General features: G+C 38.7%; 1 protein-coding gene across 19 annotated transcripts in view; it reads right to left on the reverse strand.

The window, feature by feature from the left end:
* Positions 1 to 25,662, reverse strand: part of CATSPERT (catsper channel auxiliary subunit tau) — a 131,758-nt gene that overhangs the window by 102,675 nt on the left and 3,421 nt on the right. For 15 of the 19 annotated variants that reach the window (XR_007069662.1, XM_047443506.1, XM_006712336.4 and 12 more), the window contains exons 2-4: positions 14,516 to 14,602; positions 13,129 to 13,180; positions 11,644 to 11,789 (exon numbers count right to left, since the gene is read on the reverse strand). The exons of the other annotated variants lie outside the window; for them this stretch is intronic. Coding sequence is in view for 14 of the 15 variants with exons in the window: in XM_047443506.1 (XP_047299462.1) it covers positions 11,644 to 11,789; positions 13,129 to 13,180; positions 14,516 to 14,602 (285 nt within the window). In the remaining variant the exon portion in view is untranslated. The remainder of the gene's footprint in view (positions 1 to 11,643; positions 11,790 to 13,128; positions 13,181 to 14,515; positions 14,603 to 25,662) is intronic. 19 annotated transcript variants of the gene reach the window in all.

The following is a 25,662-nucleotide window of genomic DNA, read 5'->3' on the forward strand; positions in this document are numbered from 1 at the left end:
TCTAGCATTAGGTATATCTCCCAATGCTATCCCTCCCTCCTCCCCCCACCCCACAACAGTCCCCAGAGTGTGATGTTCCCCTTCCTGTGTCCATGTGTTCTCATTGTTCAATTCCCACCTATGAGTGAGAATATGTGGCGTTTGGTTTTTTGTTCTTGCGATAGTTTACTGAGAATGATGATTTCCAATTTCATCCATGTCCCTACAAAGGACATGAACTCATCATTTTTTATGGCTGCATAGTATTCCATGGTGTATATGTGCCACATTTTCTTAATCCAGTCTATCATTGTTCGACATTTGGGTTGGTTCCAAGTCTTTGCTATTGTGAATAATGCCGCAATAAACATATGTGTGCATGTGTCTTTATAGCAGCATGATTTATAGTCCTTTGGGTATATACCCAGTAATGGGATGGCTGGGTCAAATGGTATTTCTAGTTCTAGATCCCTGAGGAATGGCCACACTGACTTCCACAATGGTTGAACTAGTTTACAGTCCCACCAGCAGTGTAAAAGTGTTCCTATTTCTCCACATCCTCTCCAGCACTTGTTGTTTCCTGACTTTTTAATGATTGCCATTCTAACTGGTGTGAGATGGTATCTCATTGTGGTTTTGATTTGCATTTCTCTGATGGCCAGTGATGGAGAGCATTTTTTCAAGTGTTTTTTGGCTGCATAAATGTCTTCTTTTGAGAAGTGTCTGTTCATGTCCTTTGCCCACTTTTTGATGGGGTTGTTTTTTTCTTGTAAATTTGTTTGAGTTCATTGTAGATTCTGGATATTAGCCCTTTGTCAGATGAGTAGGTTGCGAAAATTTTCTCCCATTTTGTAGGTTGCCTGTTCACTCTGATGGTAGTTTCTTTTGCTGTGCAAGAAGCTCTTTAGTTTAATTAGATCCCATTTGTCAATTTAGGCTTTTGTTGCCATTGCTTTTGGTGTTTTAGACATGAAGTCCTTGCCCATGCCTATGTCCTGAATGGTAATGCCTAGGTTTTCTTCCAGGGTTTTTATGATTTTAGGTCTAACGTTTTAAGTCTTTAATCCATCTTGAATTGATTTTTGTATAAGGTGTAAGGAAGGGATCCAGTTTCAGCTTTCTACATATGGCTAGCCAGTTTTCCCAGCACCATTTATTAAATAGGGAATCCTTTCCCCATTGCTTGTTTTTCTCAGGTTTGTCAAAGATCAGATAGTTGTAGATATGTGGCGTTATTTCTAAGGGCTCTGCTCTGTTCCATTGATCTATATCTCTCTTTTGGTACCAGTACCATGCTGTTTTGGTTACTGTAGTCTTGTAGTATAGTTCGAAGTCAGGTAGTGTGATGCCTCCAGCTTTGTTCTTTTGGCTTAGGATTGACTTGGCAATGCGGGCTCTTTTTTGGTTCCATATGAACTTTAAAGTAGCTTTTTCCAATTCTGTGAAGAAAGTCATTGGTAGCTTGATGGGGATGGCATTGAATCTGTAAATTACCTTGGGCAGTATGGCCATTTTCACGATATTGATTCTTCCTACCCATGAGCATGGAATATTCTTCCATTTGTTTGTATCCTCTTTTATTTCCTTGCTCAGTAGTTTGTAGTTCTCCTTGAAGAGGTCCTTCACATCCCTTGTAAGTTGGATTCCTAGGTATTTTATTCTCTTTGAAGCAATTGTGAATGGGAGTTCACTCATGATTTGGCTCTCTGTTTGTCTGTTATTGGTGTATAAGAATGCTTGCGATTTTTGTACATTGATTTTGTATCCTGAGACTTTGCTGAAGTTGCTTATCAGCTTAAGGAGATTTTGGGCTGAGACAATGGGGTTTTCTAGATATACAATCATGTCGTCTGCAAACAGGGACAATTTGACTTCCTCTTTTCCTAATTGAATACCCTTTATTTCCTTCTCCTGACTAATTGCCCTGGCCAGAACTTCCAACACTATGTTGAATAGGAGTGGTGAGAGAGGGCAACCCTGTCTTGTGCCAGTTTTCAAAGGGAATGCTTCCAGTTTTTGCCCATTCAGTATGATATTGGCTGTGGGTTTGTCATAGATAGCTCTTATTATTTTGAAATACGTCAATACCTAATTTATTGAGAGTTTTTAGCATGAAAGGTTGTTGAATTTTGTCAAAGGCCTTTTCTGCATCTATTGAGATAATCATGTGGTTTTTGTCTTTGGTTCTGTTTATATGCTGGATTACATTTATTGATTTGCATATATTGAACCAGCCTTGCATCCCAGGGATGAAGCCCACTTGATCATGGTGGATAAGCTTTTTGATGTGCTGCTGGATTCGGTTTGCCAGTATTTTATTGAGGATTTTTGCATCAATGTTCATCAAGGATATTGGTCTAAAATTCTCTTTTTTGGTTGTGTCTCTGCCCGCCTTTGGTATCAGGATGATGCTGGCCTCATAAAATGAGTTAGGGAGGATTCCCTCTTTTTCTATTTATTGGAATAGTTTCAGAAGGAATGGTACCAGTTCCTCCTTGTACCTCTGGTAGAATTCGGCTGTGAATCCATCTGGTCCTGGACTCTTTTTGGTTGGTAAGCTATTGATTATTGCCACAATTTCAGAGCCTGTTATTGGTCTATTCAGAGATTCAACTTCTTCCTGGTTTAGTCTTGGGAGAGTGTATGTGCCGACGAATTTATCCATTTCTTCTAGATTTTCTAGTTTATTTGCATAGAGGTGTTTGTAGTATTCTCTGATGGTAGTGTGTATTTCTGTGGGATCGGTGGTGATATACCCTTTATCATTTTTTATTGCATCTATTTGATTCTTCTCTCTTTTTTTCTTTATTAGTCTTGCTAGCGGTCTATCAATTTTGTTGATCCTTTCAAAAAACCAGCTGCTGGATTCATTAACTTTTTGAAAGGTTTTTTGTGTCTCTATTTCCTTCAGTTCTGCTCTGATTTTAGTTATTTCTTGCCTTCTGCTAGCTTTTGAATGTGTTTGCTCTTGCTTTTCTAGTTCTTTTAATTGTGATGTTAGGGTGTCAATTTTAGATCTTTCCTGCTTTCTCTTGTGGGCATTTAGTGCTATAAATTTCCCTCTACACACTGCTTTGAATGTGTCCCAGAGATTCTGGTATGTTGTATCTTTGTTCTCGTTGGTTTCAAAGAACATCTTTATTTCTGCCTTCATTTTGTTATGTACCCAGTAGTCATTCAGGAGCAGGTTGTTCAGTTTCCATGTAGTTGAGCGGTTTTGAGTGAGATTCTTAATCCTGAGTTCTAGTTTGATTGCACTGTGGTCTGAGAAATAGTTTGTTATAATTTCTGTTCTTTTACATTTGCTGAGGAGAGCTTTACTTCCAACTATGTGGTCAATTTTGGAATAGGTGTGTTACGGTGCTGAAAAAAATGTATATTCTGTTGATTTGGGGTGGAGAGTTCTGTAGATGTCTATTAGGTCCGCTTGGTGCAGAGCTGAGTTCAATTCCTGGGTATCCTTGTTGACCTTCTGTCTCATTGATCTAATGTTGACAGTGGGGTGTTAAAGTTTCCCATTATTAATGTGTGGGAGTCTAAGTCTCTTTGTAGGTCACTCAGGACTTGCTTTATGAAACTGGGTGCTCTTGTATTGGGTGCATATATATTTAGGATAGTTAGCTCTTCTTGTTGAATTGATCCCTTTACCATTATGTAATGGCCTTCTTTGTCTCTTTTGATCTTTGTTGGTTTAAAGTCTGTTTTATCAGAGACTAGGATTGCAACCCCTGCCTTTTTTTGTTTTCCATTTGTTTGGTAGATCTTCCTCCATCCTTTTATTTTGAGCCTATGTGTGTCTCTGCACATGAGATGGGTTTCCTGAATACAGCACACTGATGGGTCTTGACTCTTTATCCAATTTGCCAGTCTGTGTCTTTTAATTGGAGCATTTAGTCCATTTACATTTAAGGTTAATATTGTTATGTGTGAATTTGATCCTGTCATTATGATGTTAGCTGGTTATTTTGCTCGTTAGTTGATGCAGTTTCTTCCTAGCCTCGATGGTCTTTACATTTTGGCATGATTTTGCAGCAGCTGGTACTGGTTGTTCCTTTCCATGTTTAGCACTTCCTTCAGGAGCTCTTTTAGGGCAGGCCTGGTGGTGACAAAATCTCTCAGCATTTGCTTGTCTGTAAAGTGTTTTATTTCTTCTTCACTTATGAAGCTTAGTTTGGCTGGATATGAAATTCTGGGTTGAAAATTCTTTTCTTTAAGAATGTTGAATATTGGCCCCCACTCTCTTCTGGCTTGTAGAGTTTCTGCCGAGAGATCCACTGTTAGTCTGATGGGCTTCCCTTTGAGGGTAACCCGACCTTTCTCTCTGGCTGCCCTTAACATTTTTTCCTTCATTTCAACTTTGGTGAATCTGACCATTATGTGTCTTGGAGTTGCTCTTCTCAAGGAGTATCTTTGTGGCATTCTCTGTATTTCCTGAATCTGAATGTTGGCCTGCCTTGCTAGATTGGGGAAGTTCTCCTGGATAATATGCTGCAGAGTGTTTTCCAACTTGGTTCCATTCTCCCCGTCACTTTCAGGTACACCAATCAGACGTAGATTTGGTCTTTTCACATAGTCCCATATTTCTTGGAGGCTTTGCTCGTTTCTTTTTATTCTTTTTTCTCTAAACTTCCCTTCTCACTTCATTTCATTCATTTCATCTTCCATTGCTGATACCTTTTCTTCTAGTTGATCGCATCGGCTCCTGAGGCTTCTGCATTCTTCACGTAGTTCTCGAGCCTTGGTTTTCAGCTCCATCAGCTCCTTTAAGCACTTCTCTGTATTGTTTATTCTAGTTATACATTCTTCTAAATTTTTTTCAAAGTTTTCAACTTCTTTGCCTTTGTTTGAATGTCCTCCCGTAGCTCGGAGTAATTTGATTGTCTGAAGCCTTCTTCTCTCAGCTCGTCAAAGTCATTCTCCGTCCAGCTTTGTTCCGTGGCTGGTGAGGAACTGCGTTCCTTTGGAGGAGGAGAGGCGCTCTGTTTTTTAGAGTTTCCAGTTTTTCTGCTCTGCTTTTTCCCCATCTTTGTGGTTTTATCTACTTTCGGCCTTTGATGATGGTGATGTACAGATGGGTTTTTGGTGTGGATGTCCTTTCTGTTTGTTAGTTTTCCTTCTTTTTTTTTTTTTTTTTGAGACGGAGTCTCACTGTCGCCCAGGCTGGGGTGCAGTGGCGGGATCTCGGCTCACTGCAAGCTCCGCCTCCCGGGTTCACGCCATTCTCCTGCCTCAGCCTCCCGAGTAGCTGGGACTACAGGCGCCCGCCACCTCGCCCGGCTAATTTTTTGTATTTTTAGTAGAGACGGGGTTTCACCGTGTTAGCCAGGATGGTCTCGATCTCCTGACCTCGTGATCCGCCCGCCTCGGCCTCCCAAAGTGCTGGGATTACAGGCGTGAGCCACCGCGCCCGGCCTGTTAGTTTTCCTTCTAACAGACAGGACCCTCAGCTGCAGGTCTGTTGGAGTACTCGGCCGTGTGAGGTGTCAGTCTGCCCCTGCTGGGGAGTGCCTCCCAGTTAGGCTGCTCGGGGGTCAGGGGTCAGGGACCCACTTGAGGATGCAGTCTGCCCGTTCTCAGATCTCCAGCTGCGTGCTGGGAGAACCACTGCTCTCTTCAAAGCTGTCAGACAGGGACATTTAAGTCTGCAGAGGTTACTGCTGTCTTTTTGTTTGGCAGGGCACAGACAAACGGATACTTTTCAAAAGAAGACACACATGTGGCCAACAATCATGTGAAAAAAAGCTCAACATCACTGATCATTAGAGAAATGCAGATCAAAACCACAATGAGATACCATCTCACACCAGTCAGAATGGCTATTACTAAAAACTCAAAAAAAAAAAAAAAAAAACAGATGCTGACGAAGTTGCAGAGAAAAAGGAATGCTTATACACTGTTGGTGGGAGTATAAATAAGTTCAACCATGGTGGAAGACAGTGTGGTGATTCCTCAAAGACCTAAAAACAAAAATACCATTTGACACAGCAATCCCATTACTGGGTATATACCCAAAAGAATATGAATTGTTCTGTTATAAAAATACATGCACGTATATGCTCATTGCAGCACCATTCACAAGGACAAAGACATGGAATCAACCTGAAAGCCCATCAATGATAGACTGGATAAAGAAAATGTAGTACATATACACCATGGAATACTATGCAGCCATAAAAAAGATGGAGATCATATCCTTTCCAGGGGCATGGATGGAGCTGGAGGCCATTATCCTTAGCAAACTAGCACAGGAACAGAAAAACAAATGCTACATGTTCTCACTTATAGGTGGGAGCTAAATGATTAGAACACATGGACACATAGAGGGGAACAATACACAGTGGGGCCTATCAGAGGGTAGAAGATAGGAAGAGGCAGAGGATCAGAAAAATAACTGAGTACTAGGCTTAATACCTGGTGATGAAATAATCTGTACAACAAACCCCCATGACACAAGTTTACCTATGTACCAAGCCTGCACATGTACCCCAGAACTTAAAAGTTAAAAAAAAATATTTCCTCCTCTCTTCCTCTGGGACTCAACTATATGTTATAAATTGAGTGACAGTATCCCACCAGTTTCTTACATTTTTCCATTCTTTTTTTCCTCTGAGCTTCAATTTGAATGATTTTGATTGACCAGTCTTTCAGTTCACAGATCCTTTCTCTTACTGTTTCCAGAATGCTTTTAAGTCCTTCAATGAATTATCCATTTCAAATACTGTATTTTTTAGATCTAGAATTTTTACTTGGTTCTCTTCCATTTTCACTGTCTTCAAAATTCCCATTTTGCCCACCATTTGTACACTGTTTCCACGTTGATACGTTTATGACAGTTATTTTAAAGTTCTTGTCTCTAATTTGAACATCTGGGTCATCTGTGGGTTTACTTCTATTGACTGCTTTTATCCCTCCATAAGTGGTAATTTTTTATTCTATGAATGAACATTATAAATGATAGAGACTCTGGATTTTTTAAATATCTTCCTCTAAAAAGTGTTCAGTTCTTTTTTGGAAGGCAATTCCTGGCAGATTATGTTCGTCCTATAGAGGCTTCGTTAGAGGATGGGTCTATTTCAGTTTCTGTAGAACATGGTCCTTGCTCTTAAAACTTGGCCTTTCTGGGATCTCAACAGAATTCTGGGACTATTTAATGAGAACTCTCTGCTTTTGCTCAGACTCCAATAACTCTGAATTCGGACTTCTGAACTTTCTAGTCAGCTCTCAGCCCTCCAGCGTCTGTTCTCTGTAGTTTCTCCTGGAGGCTTACCCTGTACACACCCAACTTATTTTCAGCCAAGAACCTGAGAAGAATAACTACATAGATTTCTGGGCTCTTTATCTGCTATTCCTTTTTCTTTAGAAACCTGCTCAACAAATTCCAGCCCCCGTAGGAGCCCTAAATTGCCATCTCTGCTTTCTCTTCTCCCTCTGCTCAGCGTCTGCTTCCTCCACGCACCAAGACCGCCATTCTCTGCTTGGGTTTCTCTCTGCTTGGGTTTCACTCCGCTGTGCGGGAATCACTGCCAGATAAAAAGCTGCTGTAAATGTGGAGCTCACCGCTTGTGCTTCCCTTCTCTTTAGAAGTGCCTCCTTCCACTTTCCATTGTTCAATGCCAGGATATAGTTCCTTCATGTAGTTTTCTGTTTCATAGCTGTTTAGAGCAGACGAGTGAGTCCAATACCAGCTATTCCAGCATGGCCAGAACCAGAAATCCACTACTACTCATTCTTCAGTCTGAGTTTTTATATCACTTTCCCAGCAGCTTTCTGGAACAATTAAACTAAGTTAAATCCACTTCCTATGTATTTTCAGTTGTTAGTTTGCATGGATTTAAAAAATTTTAACCTAGATCTATGTTGTACATTTTAGCAAATTAAAGTCCTAAAGCGTATGCAATGTAATTTTATTTTATCCTAATTATATACTATATAAAGTCAAGAATTTCTACAATGGTTAAAACAAAGAAACAACTTTTTTCTTACTCCCGCCTGTATTAATCATGGTTTTTTGTTGTTTTTGTTGTTTGTTTTGGTTTGATATTTTTGAGACAGGGTCTCACTCTGTCACTCAAGCTGGAGTGCAGTGATAGGATCATGGCTCACTGCAGCCTCAAACTACTGGGTGCAAGCCATCCTCTGCCTCAGCCTCCAGAGTAGCTGGCACTACAGGTACATGCCACCACACCCAGTTAATTTTTTAATATTTATTTTGTAGAGATGGGGCCTCACTATGTTGACCAGGCCAGTTTTGAACTCCAGGCCTCAAGCATTCCTCCTGCTTTGGCCTCCCAAAATCCTGGGATTATAGGCGTGAGCCACTATGCTCAGTCAATCACATTTTGTTTTGTTTTTAAGAAAAAAAAAAAGCTTCTGTAAGTTATGATGTTCTGGCATCTTAAAAATCTTGTTGAGGGAGAGACGTCCCCTCCCAGGGTTAGACTGCTAGAGACAGCAAAGGCTTAGCAGAGAGCACATCTTTTATTTGCAAACTAACCAATCCCAAGGCTATAGCTCCAACCACTTTTTTTTTTTGGTCTCACTTTGTTGCCCAGGCTGGAGTGCAGTAGTGCCATGTTGGCTCACTGCAAACTCTGTCTCTCGGGTTCAAGCGATTCTCTTGCCTCAACCTCCCAGGTAGCTGAGATTACAGGCATGTGTCACCACACCCAGCTAAGTTTTGTATTCTTAGTAGAGACGGGTTTCACCATGTTAATCAGGCTGGTCTCGAACTCCTGACCTTAAGTGATCTGCTCTCCTCGGCCTCCCAAAGTGCTGGGCTTACAGGCATGAGCTACCGTGCCCAGCCAACCACCTCCTAATCTAATTCTCACACACATTTCCCTTGCCCTAAATTATCCCAGGGCCAGGTATTAGAAAACTAGAGACCATTCCTATAACCCAAAGACCCCTGAAATTATTCAAACTAGCCAATCCTAAACTGGTTTCCTGGCTTGCCTTTCCCTCAGCAACCCCCAAAAGGCCTAGACTCTCCCCTCACTCCTGTCCTCTGCCTCCTGACCATTCTGATACTTCCCCTGTGGCCCTCAGTGGTGTGTCATGTCCCCTACTCTCAGAGAATATAACAAATTCTTTTTTCAATGACAGTACCTCTCCACGTTTTCATACAGTCATACTTCTGTAAGTTAAATCCTGGGTGCAATTTTAGAATTCCACCCCACTCACCCCCTAATTTCCATTCCTCAGAAGCTGCCTTTTCGACCTCTAAATAAATTTCTCTAAGTTTTGCCTTCATGTTTCTAAGTAACATGTTTATATTATTCATTGATTTTTTTTTAGTTTGAAATACTAACTACTAACTGCATATTGTGGAAGAAAAATATTATCTCTCAATTCTCCCCTGACAGTTTTCATACTTCTCGCCATTCCTCCAATATATTCTATAACATACATTTTTGTTAGATTGTTAGTGTTTATATTAGTTTATATGTGTAACTGTCAGAGTTTAACAATATATTACAATAATTATATTTCCTTTCCTGTATCATTTTTAATTTCCCTGTAGTTAACATGTGTCTTGCTTTTTTATGTTTCTTTGTTTGCTTGTCCAATTTTCTGTGTAATTATTAAGTCATTCTCAAACTTTCTATTAGAGTTCCATTAAAACTGTCCTTTTAATGTGCTCAAACTAACAGTACCTATTTAAATAAATACAGGAAACAGATTTTGATTATGCTAATGAAGATAAACACCTTACTATATACTTTACATTATTTTCAAGTATTAATGTTTCAAATTTTATTTAAATGGACATATATCCCCCAAATTCTTGAGAATTTGCCAATGAAGCTTAGGAAAAACTATTTGCAGAGTAAAACAAACAGTATGTGTTGCCTCCAGCAAAACTATTCCTTGTTTTTTCATTGCTTAAAACAAACAAACAAACAACAACAACAACAAAAACCTATGCTTAAAAAACTGTCTTCACAGTGTGGCGATTCCTCAAGGATCTAGAACTAGAAATACCATTTAACCCAGCGATCCCATTACTGGGCATATACCCAAAGGATTATAAATCATGCTACTATAAAGACACATACACACGTATGTTTATTGTGGCACTTTTCACAATAGCAAAGACTTGGAACCAACCCAAATGTCCATCAATGACAGACTGGATTAAGAAAATGTGGCACATATACACCATGGAATACTATGCAGCCATAAAAAAGGATGAGTTCATGTCCTTTGCAGGGACATGGATGAAGCTGGAAACCATCATTCTTAGCAAACTATCACAAGGACAGAAAAACAAACACCGCATATTCTCACTCATAGGTGGGAATTGAACAATGAGAACACATGGACACAGGGTGGGGAACATCACACACCAGGGCCTGTAGGGGGCTGGAGGGCTGGGGAAGGGATAGCATTAGGAGAAATACCTAATGTAAATGATGACTTGACAGGTGCAGCAAGCCAACATGGCACATATATACCTATGTAACAAACCTACATGTTGTGCACATGTACCCTAGAACTTAAAGTATAATAAAAAAAATAAAAAACTGTCTTCACTACTCAACACTTAAACAGATAAAGTCTGAAAAATAATATGGAGCATAGAGGAGAAAAGGCTTTAGGATTTCCCTAAAATTCAACTAATGTAATAAATAATTGGACAAATCGATGAATCCTGCAGCTGTATGGAATAATGTCATTCTTTTTTTTTTTTTTGAGACAGAGTCCAGCTTTGTTGCCCAGGCTGGAGTGCGATGGCATGATCTCAACTCACTGCAACCTCCACCTCCTGGGTTCAAGGGATTCTCCTGCCTCAGCCTCCCGAGTAGCTGGGATTACTGGTGTGCACCACCATGCCTGGCTAATTTTTGTATTTTTAGTAGAGAGTGTTTCACCATGTTGGTCAGGCTGGTCTCAAACTGCTGACATCAAGTAATCTGCCCACTTCAGCCTCCCAAAGTGCTGGGATTGCAGGTGTGAGTCACTGCGCCCAGCCATTTTTTAAAAAGTTTTAAGATACATTTAAGATTCTAATAAGCCTAACTGTAAACAGAAACATAGTAAGTGCCGGTGTGTGAGGCAGTTTAATGAAGTGTGGTCTGAAACCAGACTGCCCACATTCCCAGCTCAACCACTTACCACTTACCAGCTCTATGACCTTAAGAAAGGTCCTTAACCACAGAGTGCCTCAGTTTCTTCATCCGTAAAATAAGGATGATAGTGTGTGTGTGTGTGTGTGTGTGTGTGTGTGTGTGTGTGTGTGGGTTGTAATAAAGACTGACTAAGTTAATCCTTAAAAAAATAATTAGAGACAAAGGGGAATACAGGATAGAAGAAAAGGAATGGGAAAGGAGATGGGAAAAACTCTAAGGTGGAAGACAGTAGATGGGAAGAGAAGAGCAAGATAGAGATAAATACATGCAGAATGAATACTGGAAACCACAGACAGTAACATCTCAGGAAAGAAATCTACTAAGATTATGCATTTCGCAGTAAAATTGTTTCTTTTTTTAAAACACCACTATAGCCCATGGTATAGAAATAGAATACTGTAAGATACCAAATAAAAAGGCACTTACTGCTTTTGTTTCTTTTCTACTCATTTTTATAAAAAGACAGAATTAGGGTAGAATATTTGGAACTATAAGGAGCCATTCTAATATCTAGAAGAGATATTAACATTACCTGTACAGAAAAATACTTCACTTCATCGAACTTAATTACAGTGTTCTTCTCATCGTTTTTGGATAGCAAGCTACACATTTTTGTACATTTCACAGCTTTGTTTATAGAGATGCGAATGAATAAATTAGCATAATGTTGTAAACTGACTGAAAATAGAATGATATTCAGGAAATAAATTTTGTTGTAATTGAACAATAATACATTATAAAATTAATACATTAAACGATTCAGACCAAAACCTAAGAATCAATCATGTAGCATTAAACAATAGAAAAAAAGTATTCTAAAATAGTATTTTTGCCCATCACTGGTGGACACAATATAAGTAAAAGAAGGTTGATTCTTCCTTACATCCCTTATATTTTTAACCTCACATTTCCAACAAAATTCCTTTGCAAGTTTTGCTATGTATTAATTTCAAGGTGACTAAGTATATGCAATATATAGTTGAAATTTTTCCTAAGGAAAATTATGTAGAAATTCAAAATATTTAAAAATATATCAGATTAACCTATTTTTAATTTTGAGACAAAAAGTGTTCTACTCTAATTCACTTAAGAATATAGTTCATTTATACTATATTGGTCTGTATTGTATCTTTCATAGAATGCTACAGAGTAAAACAATTTTGTTTCAAGATTTAACTATCTTCAAAAATCTCATTATACAGAATTATTTTCCAAAATTCTCTTTATATAAAAAAGAAACATCAAATCTCCATAATGAGGCTGGTTTTATGCTGTGATAAATCTAAAAATAAGCACTCAGCTTGTTTAAAAGCACCAATATAAATTAAATCCTTTTAAAAATGTTTAAAGGAAGCACACATTACTTACAAATAAATTAGCATTATCATACAAGAAGATATATATTTTTCCTTTCATTTATATGGTGATTGAGGTGATTACAGATGGCTGAAAAGCTTTTGTTACTCTCACATCAAAAAGTCCACTTTATTTCCCCTGCCACTAAATCTGGGCTGGCTCTATGATTACATTAACCAATAAAATGTAATGGAATGTGACTAGGGTTGGGACTAGTAAGCCAAAAAGGCACTCAACTAGAGCACAAAATTTAAGGGGACACCAACAACTAGTAATCAAGATAAATAATATATTACTGTGATATATTTTTAAATTAAAATTAATAAAGGGGGATAAAACATGATAGGACTTAGGGAAAGAGAGAGAGATCCAACCATTTCAGCATCCCTGCTAAGTCTAGCCTTCCATGCATCCCCACTAAAGCAACTAGACATGTAAATGGGCCACTTCAGATATTCTAGCCCTTTTGAACTGTCAGACAACAGCCCAAGCTTTTATATCATGAAGCAGAAGAAGCAAATAGTGAATGAACAGTAGTGATTGATGATAAAATGGTCAATGTGTTAAGCCACTAAGTTTTGGAATGGTTTGTAATGCAGCAATGGATAACTGAAACAGTGAGATATAATTACTATGATTCTTAAATCAAAAGAAAGGATACTCTTAGGCATAAAATGTCTGCAGTTCTTTATATGAATGCCCAGGCAGCCAACCTACAACAATCAAAACAAAAACACAGACAGTGAATGCATTTAAAAAGTTAACTGTTCTTTCACTTTACACTGAGCTCTATTTTTAAAAAGTAAAACTCCACGTTGTTGGTTTTTCTCATTTGAAATATTGTTTCTCATGAAAAATATCTAGTTAATAGAAATCATCGGAAAGCAGAAATACAGAAGAAAAATGCGCAGGCCACATTCAAAGTAAACCTAAAATGAACAAGAATACAAAGCCAAAGAATAATAATTCATTATTAACATAAATCTGATCATCACTCTTTAAATTGTTTTTATTTGATATTAGGTGAGAACTGATAAAATATAGCACCCTGCATATAAAATTAAGAAATGTGCCTTATTTCAGACAAACTCTTTTATCCAGTGTCCTAAGACCACTTAATTCATTCAGCAATGATTCATTGGCTATAACATGCCAAGGACTGTAAAATATTCATGCTCTTGCACCAAGTTTTTCTAAATGTTAAAGAAAATTGCATCATGTGCTTAACCAAAAAATCAAATACAAAATAAATGCAGGAACATCTGAATCCTAATATGAGAATTAGCCAAATATATTTAGCCATGTTTAGTATTTAAAACCAAGTAAAAACAACAGAAATATTATATTAAACATTGTATATGATAGGAGGTAGAGGGACAAGAAAAATTCTTATTTCATACCCAGTTACCACTCTAATAGTGTTCAGAAAATAAAAATAACTGTAAATGAATGTCATAATATTTGACAGTTCTATATGCATGTAGATTCTCATGTCTTGTTCTGTACTTTGAAAACAGAATAACAGATTTTTCTGGTTCTCAGCCTAGATACTGCGTCCTCCCTCTGTGTGGTGTGTGTGTGTATGTGTGTGTGTGTGTGTGTGTGTGAAAGAGAGAGGGGGGTGTTTGCTTTTGTTTCTAGGAGGTTTTTTGGATCGGGGAGGGGCGCAGGATCAATTTTCAGACTTTAGCATGATCTAGCAATAAATATAATCACTTTAAGAGCTCAGTAAAATTACTGATTCCCAGGCTCCTCTCCTAGAGATTCTAAGTTAGCAGATCTTAGGTGGAGCCTCAAGTTAATGTTTTATAAAAAGCATCTGAGGTAATTCCGATATAACTAGATTTGGGAATCCCTAATATAGAAGATATTATTTCTGTGAATCAGGATGTTTTCCATAATTTCAGTGATTATTACAATGTTTTTCTGACTCATAAAAATGAAAAATTCATAAATACGCCATCAGAGAGAACCATTTTCTGCATATACTGTTTGATTATCAAATAATAAATAACTTATACAGGTTTTTGAGGGTTACTCATACATACCACATCCCCAAATGGCACCAAATTTGGCGTCTCCTGTGTTATTTCCAGTTCTTCACTATCAGACTCTTTAAGAGTTTTTCTCAGCATCTACAATGTAAATAAATTAAGATTTGGGAAGAGAAAGACAAACATAACTAGATGAAACATCAATTCAATAATTATTGTATGAATCTCTAGTAAGTGTCAGGTCTCCTCGGTATTGGGGTATTAATATGATTAAGAAACTCATCCCTATCCTCAATAAGAAGTTAGTAGAGAAATAAAAATGTACACAAATATAAAATTAAGAGAATCATGAAAGAAGAGAAAAGTACATAGTTCTTCAGTTTGTTAAGAAATTGAATATTTAGTAGGATATCTTGAAAAGCTTATAAAGAGAATTCCAGTTGGCCCTAGTATAGGAGATACTTTGAGTCTGAATCTCTACTCAATCAAATATATATATACATACACACACACACACACACATACACAAACATATATATGCACACATGCACACACATATACACACATATACATGCACATGCACACACACACTATAGGGACAGAAAGCAAGGAAAGAGAAATCTTAAGAGATGCTGGAAAAGAACAGAGAGGAGTAGGGAACACAAAAGGAAGCACAGACAAAATCATCCTGAGAAAGAGAAAGTTCAACATTGAGCACAAAAATTCTGACCACAGGTCTAGGAGTTGGTAGTTCACAGCAATGGCCATAGAGAAGGGACCTGAAAGAGAAGGACCAGAAGTAGCTCATCATGATGCGCACTGCTTCTGGGGTGAAGGCATCAGAGAAGAAGAGGTATCCCTGCATACATGGCAGGGAAGAGAAAGAAGGATATAAGAGGGGAAAATTAAGCATACCAGAAAAACCGAAGAGAACAACAGGTTATGCCCCTCCTTTCCCCTTACCTCCCATCAATTACAACTTCATCCATTTAAAAAAAAACTGCTTCAATACACTGAAAGAAGAGAGTACACTTAAACTATGGCAAAGAAATGACCATGGCCAAGAAATACGGAAAATCCGACCAACTCCATTAAAAGCTATTATAGGGAGAAAATGGGGAGAAATCTTCAGATGACAAAAATTCTTCCTCCCAAATAACCACAAAACAGAAGTAAATTATAACATAAGATTTCAAACTGAATTAAGTATCTTCAAACAAGCATTTGGAGATGTTTTTAAGCCTACAATTAACAATTCATTCATTTATTCAACAATTAAAACAGAAGTTGACCAAAGAGAAGAAAGAAAAAATGAAATGAGTGTTGATCAATTCAGAAAAGAAATTTTTAAAAAAGACAAACCATCCCAGAAATAAATGCTAAATTATAAAGTGCCCAAAGGTAGCATCGATTCAAAAAAACTTTATAAGGGGCATTGAAGAAGATAAGAACCAGTGAAGAGAATGATAATGAGATAGAGAAAGAAGCATAAAGGGTCAGAGAAAAATGGTTGAATTGGAAGGCAGGCAAATGAAAAATCCTCGAAGTAAAACAAAACAATGGAGGAAAAACGAATGTTTAAAGTTATAATCCAAGAAAAATTTAAGTATTAAGAGAAAAATCTGTATGTGGATAGGACTCACCATGTGTCTAGAAAAACTGGCTCATAATGATCAACTCCAAGATGTGTCCTAGTAAGATTATTAGGCTTTATAAAGACATCTTGCCTACAGGCAAATGACCAAATTATCTATGAAGATAAGAAATAAGACTGGCATCATATTTCTCAAGGGCAACATACAAAGCAATGCAACTGCAGAGCTGTATTTTTATAAAGTTCAAGGCAAGGAAGGTCAAGCCAAGGATTTTTATCCAACCAAGTCTATTTTTATCCAACAAAGTAACAGCATTCATGTATCAAGGCTATTTTAAAAAATACATGAAACAGGCATTCCAGATAACATTTTACTCTTGAGCCCCTCCCAAGAAACCTACTAAAAGATGAGCTTCAACCAAACCAAAAGATAGTGGGGAAAACTTCAGGATAAGACTTATGGAGAGGACAGGCACGGTGGCTCACACCTGTAATCCCAACACTTTGGGAGGCCGAGGTGGGTGTATCACTTGAGGCCAGGAGTTTGAGACCAGCTTGGCCAACATGGCGAAAACCCACCTCTACTAAAAATACAAAAATTAGCTGGGCGTGGTGGTGCACACCTGTAATTCCAGCTACTTGGGAGACTGAGGCAGGAGAATCCCTTCAACCCGGAAGGTGGAGATTGCAGTGAGCCAAGATCGCGCCACCGCACTCCAGCTTGGGCGATAGAGTAAGACTCTGTCTCAAAAAAAAAAAAAAAAAGACTTATGGAGAGCAGTTAATATATTTAACTGCAGAGTTAAGATTAAAGTAAAGATTCAAATGTTACTACTACAGAAACCACCAAACAACTATAATAAATAGTAAGGGAGAAAGAAAGGAACAAAGTACACACAAAACAAGAAATTAATTAATAAAATGATGAGAATAAGCCCCCACCTATCAATAATAACCTTGAATGTGAATGAATTAAGCTCTCCACTTCAAAGATATACACTGGCTAAATGGATCAAAAAAACATGACCCGATCTTTCGGATTTGGGTAAAAGAAGCCAGACCTACTGAGTTTACATTTTGCTTCTGCCCTCTCTGGCTGTGTTACCCTGGGCAAGTTACTTAACCTCTCTAACCCAGAGATGCTGCATGCAATTTGCTGAATCATAACAGAACCTATTTTATGGGGCTCTTGTGAGACTTAAGGAAATTAATATAAATAGGTCAGACATGGTGGCTGACACCTGTAATCACAGCAATTTGGGAGGTCAAAGCAGGAGGACTGCTTGAGCCTAGGAGTTCGAGACCAGCCTGGGAAACCTAGTGATACCGGCCCCCATCTCTACAAAAGATAAAAGTAAATTAGCCTGGTGTGATGGCACATGCCTGTGGGCTGAGGTAGGATCATTGCTTGAGCCCAGGAGTTCAAGGCTGTAGTGAGCTATGATTTTGCCACAGCACTCCAGCCTGGGGGACACACACACACACAAGACTCTGTCCACACACACACAAAATTAATATAAAGAAAGCAACTAATATACAGTACCTGGTATATGGTAATCAATACTTAAGAGTTTACTCTAGTTAAAAACCGAATTGCCTTTCCCAAAAATGCATACGTTGCAATCCTCACTCCTTGTGCCTCAGAATGTCATTGTATTTGGAGATAGGATTTTAAAAGAGGTAATTAGATTAAAATGAGGTCATCAGGGTGGACCCTAATCCCATATGCTGAGAAGAGAGGTCTCAGAAGAAACCAACTCTACCACCTTAATTTTGGACTTCCAAGCCCCAAAACTGTGAGAAAATAAATGTCTGAGGTTTAAAATACCCAGTCTGTGGAGCTTTGTCATGTAGCTCTAGCAACAAATGCTGCTTGCATTATGGGACAGCAATGCTAGATTTTACATATGGTAAGCATTCCTTCTATAAGCATTTATTAGCACCTACTACCTGCTGGCTGAGCTGGGACTCATATAGGGTAATTGCCTCCAGCATAATTTTTTTGGGTCATGGGGCAGACAGGGTCTTGCTTTGTCACCCAGGATGGAATGCAGTGGTACAATCATAGCTCGTTGTAGCCTCAAACTCCTGGGCTCAAGTGATCCTCTCACCTTGGCCTCTCAAAGTACTAGGATTAGAGGCATGAGCCATCATACCCAGCCTCAGGCACAAAACTTAACTGAATGCCAAAAAACTCAGTCACCATGATAATAATGTGTATACACTTTTTTTTAAAATTTTGGTAGAGGGGAAGGGGCATGGAGCTCTCATGCTCTCTCTGGGCATGTGACCCTCGAGGAATATTTTAATGCATGTTTTTAAAAAAATCAAAATGCTTTCCCCACTTCTCACTACTGCACTTCACCAATACTACAAAGAAAATACGCTGGACACAGTGGCTTATGCCTATAATCCCAGCACTTTGGGAGGCCAAGGTGGGCAAATCATTTGAGCCCAGGAGTTCCAGACCAGCCTGGGCTACGTGGCAAAACCACGTCTCTACAAAATATATAAAAATTAGCCAGGCATGGTGGCGAGTTCCTACAGTCCTAGCTACTCAGGAGGCTGAGTTGGGAGGATCACCTGAGCCCAGGAGGTTGAGGCTGCAGTGAACAGTGATTATGCCACTACACTCCAGCCTCTGTGACAGAGTAAGATCCTGTCTCAAAAAAAAAAAAAGAAAGAAACAAACAAAGAAAGAAAGAAAAAAGAAAAGAGAAAGAAAGAAAAATGCAAAAAAGTTGATTAAAAAAAAAAACATGACCCAACTATATGCTGCCTATAAGAAACTCATCTCATCTGTAAAGGCACATACAGAATGAAAGTAAAGGGATAGAAAAAAATATTCCAAGAATAGCTATGCCAGGAGCAGAAGTAGCTATGGTTATATCAGATAAAATAGACTTAAAGTAAAAAACAGTAAAGAGACAATTTAAAAAAAGGTCATTAGGTCATTATATAATGATAAATGTGTCAAATCAGCAAGAGGATATAACAATTCTAAATATATTATGTACCCAACACCAGAGTACTCAGATATATAAATAGTATTACATCCAAAGGGAAGGATAGACTCCAATACAATAATATCTGGGGACTTTAACACACTACTCTCAGCATTAGACAGATCATCTAGACAGAAAACTAACAGAGAAACATGGGATTTAAATTACACATTAAACCAAATAGACCTAACAGACATTTACAGAATATTTCATCCAACAGCTACCGAATACATACTCTTCTCATCACCACATGGAAAATTCTCCATGACAGACTATATCTTAGGACACAAAACAAGTCTTACCAAATTTTAAAACATTAAAATCATATCAAGTATCTTCTGAGACCACAATGGAATAAAACTAGAAATCAGTAACAAGGGGAACTTTGGAAACTGTACAAACACAGGTAAATTAACAACATGCTCTTCAATGATCATTGGGTCAAGGAAGAAATTAAACAGAAAATTAAAAAATTTCTTGAAACTCATACAAATTGAAACACAACATACCAAAACTATGGGATACAGCAAAAGCAGTGCTAAGAGGGAAGATTATAGCAGTAAGCACCTATATCAAAGAAGTAGAAAGGTTTCAAATAAACAATCTAACAATACACATCAAGAAAGAAGAAAAGCAAGAATAAACCAAACCTAAAATTAGTGGAAGAAAAGAAATAACAAAGATCAGAGCAGAAGTAATTGAAATAGAACCTTTAAAAAGTACAAAGAATCAGCAAAACAAAAATTTGGCTTTTGACCTTACTAAAGTAACCAAGAAAAAGAGAACCTCAAATAAACAAACTCAGAAATGAAAAAGGAAATATAACTATGTCACAGACATACAAAAGATTACCAGAGACTATTAGAAACAACTATACACTAACAAATTGGAAAACTCAGAAGAAATGGATAAATTCCTAGACAAATACAAGTGACCAATATTGACTTAGGAAGAAATAGAAAGCCTGAACAGACCAATAACAAGTAATGAGATTGAAGCAGTAATAAGATGTCTCTCAGCTAGGCACGGTGGCTCATGCCTGTAATCCCAGCACTTCGGGAGGCTGAGGCAGGCAGATCATGAGGTCAGGAGATCGAGACCATCCTAGCTAACACAGTGAAACCCCGTCTCTACTAAAATATATGAAAAAAAATTAGCCGGGCGTGGTGGCGGGCGCCTGTAGTCTCAGCTACTCAGGAGGCTGAGGCAGGAGAATGGCGTGAACCTGGGAGGCAGAGCTTGCAGTGAGCCGAGATCATGCCACTGCACTCCAGCCTGGGTGACAGTGCGAGACTCCGTCTCAAAAAAAAAAAAAAAAGTCTCTCAACAAAGAAAAGTCACAGACCACATGACTTCACTGCTGAATTCTACCAAACTCTCGAAGAAGAACTAACATGAATTCTCCTCAAACTATTTCAAAAAATGAAGAAGACAGAATTCTCCCTGACACATTCTTTGAGGCCAGTATTACCCTGATGCAAAAACCAGACAAGGATACAACAACAAAAAAGAAATCTATAGGTCAATATCCCTAATGAACATAGATGCAAAAATCTTCAACAAAATACTAGCAAACTGAATGAAACAGCATATCAAAAAGATAATATATATATATACCATGATCATATGGGATTTATCCCAGTGAATGCAAGGATGGTTCAACACATGCAAATCAATAAACATCAAACATCACATCAACAGAATTAAGGGCAAAAACCAAATGATCATCTCAATAGACACAGAAAGCATTTGATAAAATTCAATATCCCTTCATGATAAAAAAAAATTCAACAAACTGGCATAGAAGGAATGTACTTCAACATAATAAAGCCCATATATAACAAATGCCTGGCTAACATCATACTGAATGGAGAAGAGCTAAAAGCCTTTCCTCTAAGAACTAGAATAAGACAAGAATGCCCACTTTCACCACTGTACTGAAAGTCCCAGCCAGAGTAATCAGGCGAGAGAAAAAAAATAAAAGGCATCCAAATTGGAAAAGGGAAAGTCAAATTGTCCCTATTTGCTAATGATATGATCTTTTATCTAGAAAAACCTATAGATTCCTACAAAAAACTCCTCTATCTGATAAATAAATTCAGTAAAGTTACAGCATACAAAATCAACATAATGTTATGAAACTAGAAATCAGTAACAGGAAATTTGGAAAATTCACAAAGACGTGGAAATTAACAACAGGCTTCTGAATAACTAAGGGATCAAAGGAGATCAAATAGAAATCAAAAAATATTTTGAGACCAACAAAAATGGAAACACAATATACTCAAACTTATGGGATGCTGCGAAAGCAGTTATAAGAGGAAAGGTTAGAACAATAAATATCTACATCAAAAAAGAAGATCTCAAATAAACAACCTAACTTTACACTTTTAATAACTGTGTAGCAAAAACAAAGTAAGCCCAAAGTTAGCAGAAGAAAAAAATAATAAAGATTGGAGCAGAAATAAAATAGAGAACAGAAAAATCATTTTAAACATTAATGAAACTAAGGATTGCACAGCAAAAAGCACTATCAACAGTCAAAAAAAAAACAACTGTTGAATTATGAGAAAATATTTGTGACACTTATCACAGATGAATGCTAGTATCCCTAACAATTAAAGGATTTTTGAAAATGTCCTAATATCTTCCAACAACTTTGAAAAGGTGAGATTCAATTTGATTCCCCTTTGCCGTTTAGGTCTCCATGCTCTAGTGGTACTACTAAGTATAGTGGTAAACTCAAGAGTTTCAGGAGGCCAATAATTCACTTTGCAGACAGGATGCAGATTTGCTTCTGCAGATTCACTCTGTAATAACCTCAGGAATGAAAACAGGGGTAACTAAAGTTTCTGAAGTTTGGCCCTGTAACCAAATAAATAAAATCCCAGTAATGATGATGATGGTGACAGCAGCTAACTTTTGACTCTGTACTTTGTTCTTTGTACTGTGCTAAGCACTTTATATCATTATTTCCTTTTGCTCTCCTTTAAGTAAGGCAGGTAGTAATTGTCTTCATTGAACAGTGAATAAAACGAGACTCTAACAAGTTAAATAATTGCCCAAGGTCCCACAGGTCAACTCTTTCTCAGGTATTACCACCCTCTAATTTAGAGGGTTTCAAAAGGATTAAAGGGGGCCGGGCACGGTGGCTCACACCTGTAATCCCAGCACCTTGGGAGGCCAGGTGGGTGGATCACCTGAGGTCAGGAGTTCAAGTCCAGCATGATCAACATGGCAAAACCCCATCTCTACTAAAAATACAAAAATTCACCTGGCCTGGTGGTGGGTGCCTGTAATCCCAGCTACTCAGGAGGTTGAGGCAGGAGAATCACTTGAACCCGGGAGGCGGAGGTTGCTGTGAGCTGAGATCATGCCACTGCACTCTAGCCTGGGGGAGGGCGACAGAATGAGACTCCATCTTGGAAAAAAAAAAAAAAAAAAGCCAAGATAGCCAAATAGGAGCAGCTCCCGTCTGCAGTTCCCAGTGTGAGTGACACAGAAGACAGGTGATTCCTGCATTTCCAACTGAGGTACTGGGTTCATCTCACTGGGGCTTGTCAGACAGTGGGTGCAGCCCACGGAGCAGGGTGGGGCATCGCCTCACCCAGGAAGCACAGAGGGTTGGGGAATTCCCTTTCCTAGCAAAGGGAAGCTGTGACAGACGGCACCTGGAAAATCGGGACACTCCCACCCTAATACTGCACTTTTCCAATGGCCTTAGCAAACGGCACACCAGGACATTATATCCCATGCCTGGCTTGGAAGGTCCCACGCCCACGGAGCTTTGCTCCCTGCTAGCACAGCAGTCTGAGATCCAACTGCAAGGCAGCAGCAAGGCTGGGGGAGGGGCATCCTCCATTGCTGAGGCTTGAGTAGGTAAACAAAGCAGCTGGGAAGCTCAAACTGGGTGGAGCCCACCTCAGCTCAAGGAGGCCTGCCTGCCTCTGTAGACTCCACCTCTGGGGGGCAGGGCATAGCTGAACAAAAGGCAGCAGAAACTTCTACAGACTTAAACATCCCTGTCTGACAGCTTTGAAGAGAGCAGTGCTTCTCCTAGCACGGAGTTTGAGATCTGAGAATGGACAGACTGCCTCCTCAAGTGGGTCCCTGACCCCCGAGTAGCCTAACTGGGAGACACCTCCCAGTAGGGGCCAATTGACACCTCATACAACTGGGTGCCCCTCTGAGACAACGCTTCCAGAAGAAGGATCAGACAGTAACATTTGCTGTTCTGCAATATTTGCTGTTCTGCAGCCTCCACTGGTGATACCCAGGCAAACAGGGTCAGAGTGGACCTCCAGCAAACTCCAACAGACCTGCAGCTGACGGTCCTGACTGTTAGAAGGAAAACTAACAAACAGAAAGGACATCCACACCAAAATCTCATCTGTACATCACCATCATCAAAGACCAAAGGTAGATAAAACCACAAAGATGGGGAGAAACCACAGCAGAAAAGCTGAAAATTCTAAAAATCAGAGTGCCGTTTCTCCTACAAAGGAACACAGCTCCTCGCCAGCAAGGGAACAAAGCTGGACAGAGAATGAATTTGACGAGTTGAGAGAAGAAGGCTTCAGATTATCAGTAATAACAAACTTCTCCGAGCTAAAGGAGGATGTTCGAACCCATTGTAAAGAAGCTAAAAACCTTGAAAAAAGATCAGATGAATGGCTAATTAGAATAAACACTGTAGAGAAGTCCTTAAATGACCTGATGGAGCTGAAAACCATGGCACGAGAACTATGTGACGCATGCACAAGCTTCAGTAGCCGATTTGATCAAGTGGAAGAAAGGGTATCAGTGATTGAAGATCAAATGAATGAAATGAAGTGAGAAGAGAAGTTGATAGAAAAAAGAATAAAAAGAAATGAACAAAGCCTCCAAGAAATATGGGACTACGTGAAAAGACCAAATCTATCTCTGATTGGTGTACCTGAAAGTGACAGAGAGAATGGAATCAAGTTGGAAAACACTCTTCAGGATATTATCCAGGAGAACTTCCCCAACCTAGCGAGGCAGGCCAACATTCAAATTCAGGAAATACAGAGAATGCCACAAAGATACTCCTCGAGAAGAGGAACTCCAAGATACATAATTGTCAGATTCACCAAAGTTGAAAAGTAGGAAAAAATGTTAAGGACAGCCAGAGAGAAAGGTCGGGTTACCCACAAAGGGAAGCCCATCAGACTAACAGCAGATCTCTTGGCAGAAACTCTACAAGCCAGAAGAGAGTGGGGGCCAATATTCAACATTTTTAAAGAAAAGAATTTTCAACCCAGAATTTCATATCCAGCCAAACTAAACTTCATAAGTGAAGGAGAAATAAAATCCTTTACAGACAAACAAATGCTGAGAGATTTTGTCACCACCAGGCCTGCATTAGAAGAGCTCCTGAATGAAGCACTAAACGTGGAAAGGAACAATCGGTACCAGCCACTGCAAAAACATGCCAAATTGTAAAGACCATTGATGCTAGGAAGAAACTACATCAACTAACCAGCAAAATAACCAGCTAACATCATAATGACAGGATCAAATTCACACATAACAATATTAACCTTAAATGTAAATGGGCTAAATGGTCCAATTAAAAGACACAGACTGGCAAATTGGATAAAGAGTCAAGACCCATCAGTGTGCTGTATTTAGGAGACCTATCTCACGTACAGAGATACACACAGGCTCAAAATAAAGGGATAGAGGAGGATCTACCAAGCCAATGGAAAACAAGAAAAAGCAGGGGTTGCAATGCTAGTCTCTGATAAAACAGACTTCAAACCAACAAAGATCAAAAGAGACAAAGAAGGACATTACATAATGGTAAAGGGATCAATTCAACAAGAAGAGCTATCCTAAATATGTATGCACCCAATATAGGAGCACCCAGATTCATAAAGCAAGTCCTTAGAGACCTACAAAGAGACTTAGACTCCCACACAATAATAATGGGAGCCTTTAACACACCACTGTCAACATTAGACAGATCAATGAGACAGAAAGTTAACAAGGATATCCAGGAATTGAACTCAGCTCTGCACCAAGCAGACCTAATAGACATCTACAGAACTCTCCACCCCAAATCAACAGAATATACATTCTTCTCAGCACCACATCACACTTATTCCAAAATTGACCACATAGTTGGAAGTAAAGCACTCCTCAGCAAATGTAAAAGAACAGAAATTATAACAGACTGTCTCTCAGACCACAGCATAATCAAACTACAACTCAGGATTAAGAAACTCTCTCAAAACTGCTCAACTACATGGAAACTGAACAACCTCTTCCTGAATGACTACTGGGTACATAACGAAATGAAGGCAGAAATAAAGATGTTCTTTGAAACCAATGAGAGCAAAGACACAACATACCAGAATCTCTGGGACACATTTAAAGCAGCGTGTAGAAGGAAATTTATAGCACTAAATGCCCACAAGAGAAAGCAGGAAAGAACTAAAATTGACACCCTAACATCATAATTAAAAGAACTAGAGAAGCAAGAGCAAATGCTTTCAAAAGCTAGCAGAAGGCAAGAAATAACTAAGATCAGAGCAGAACGGAAGGAGATAGAGACACAAAAAAACCTTCAAAAAATCAAT

Source organism: Homo sapiens, chromosome 2 (assembly GCF_000001405.40).
Source record: "Homo sapiens chromosome 2, GRCh38.p14 Primary Assembly".
NCBI lineage: Eukaryota > Metazoa > Chordata > Mammalia > Primates > Hominidae > Homo > Homo sapiens.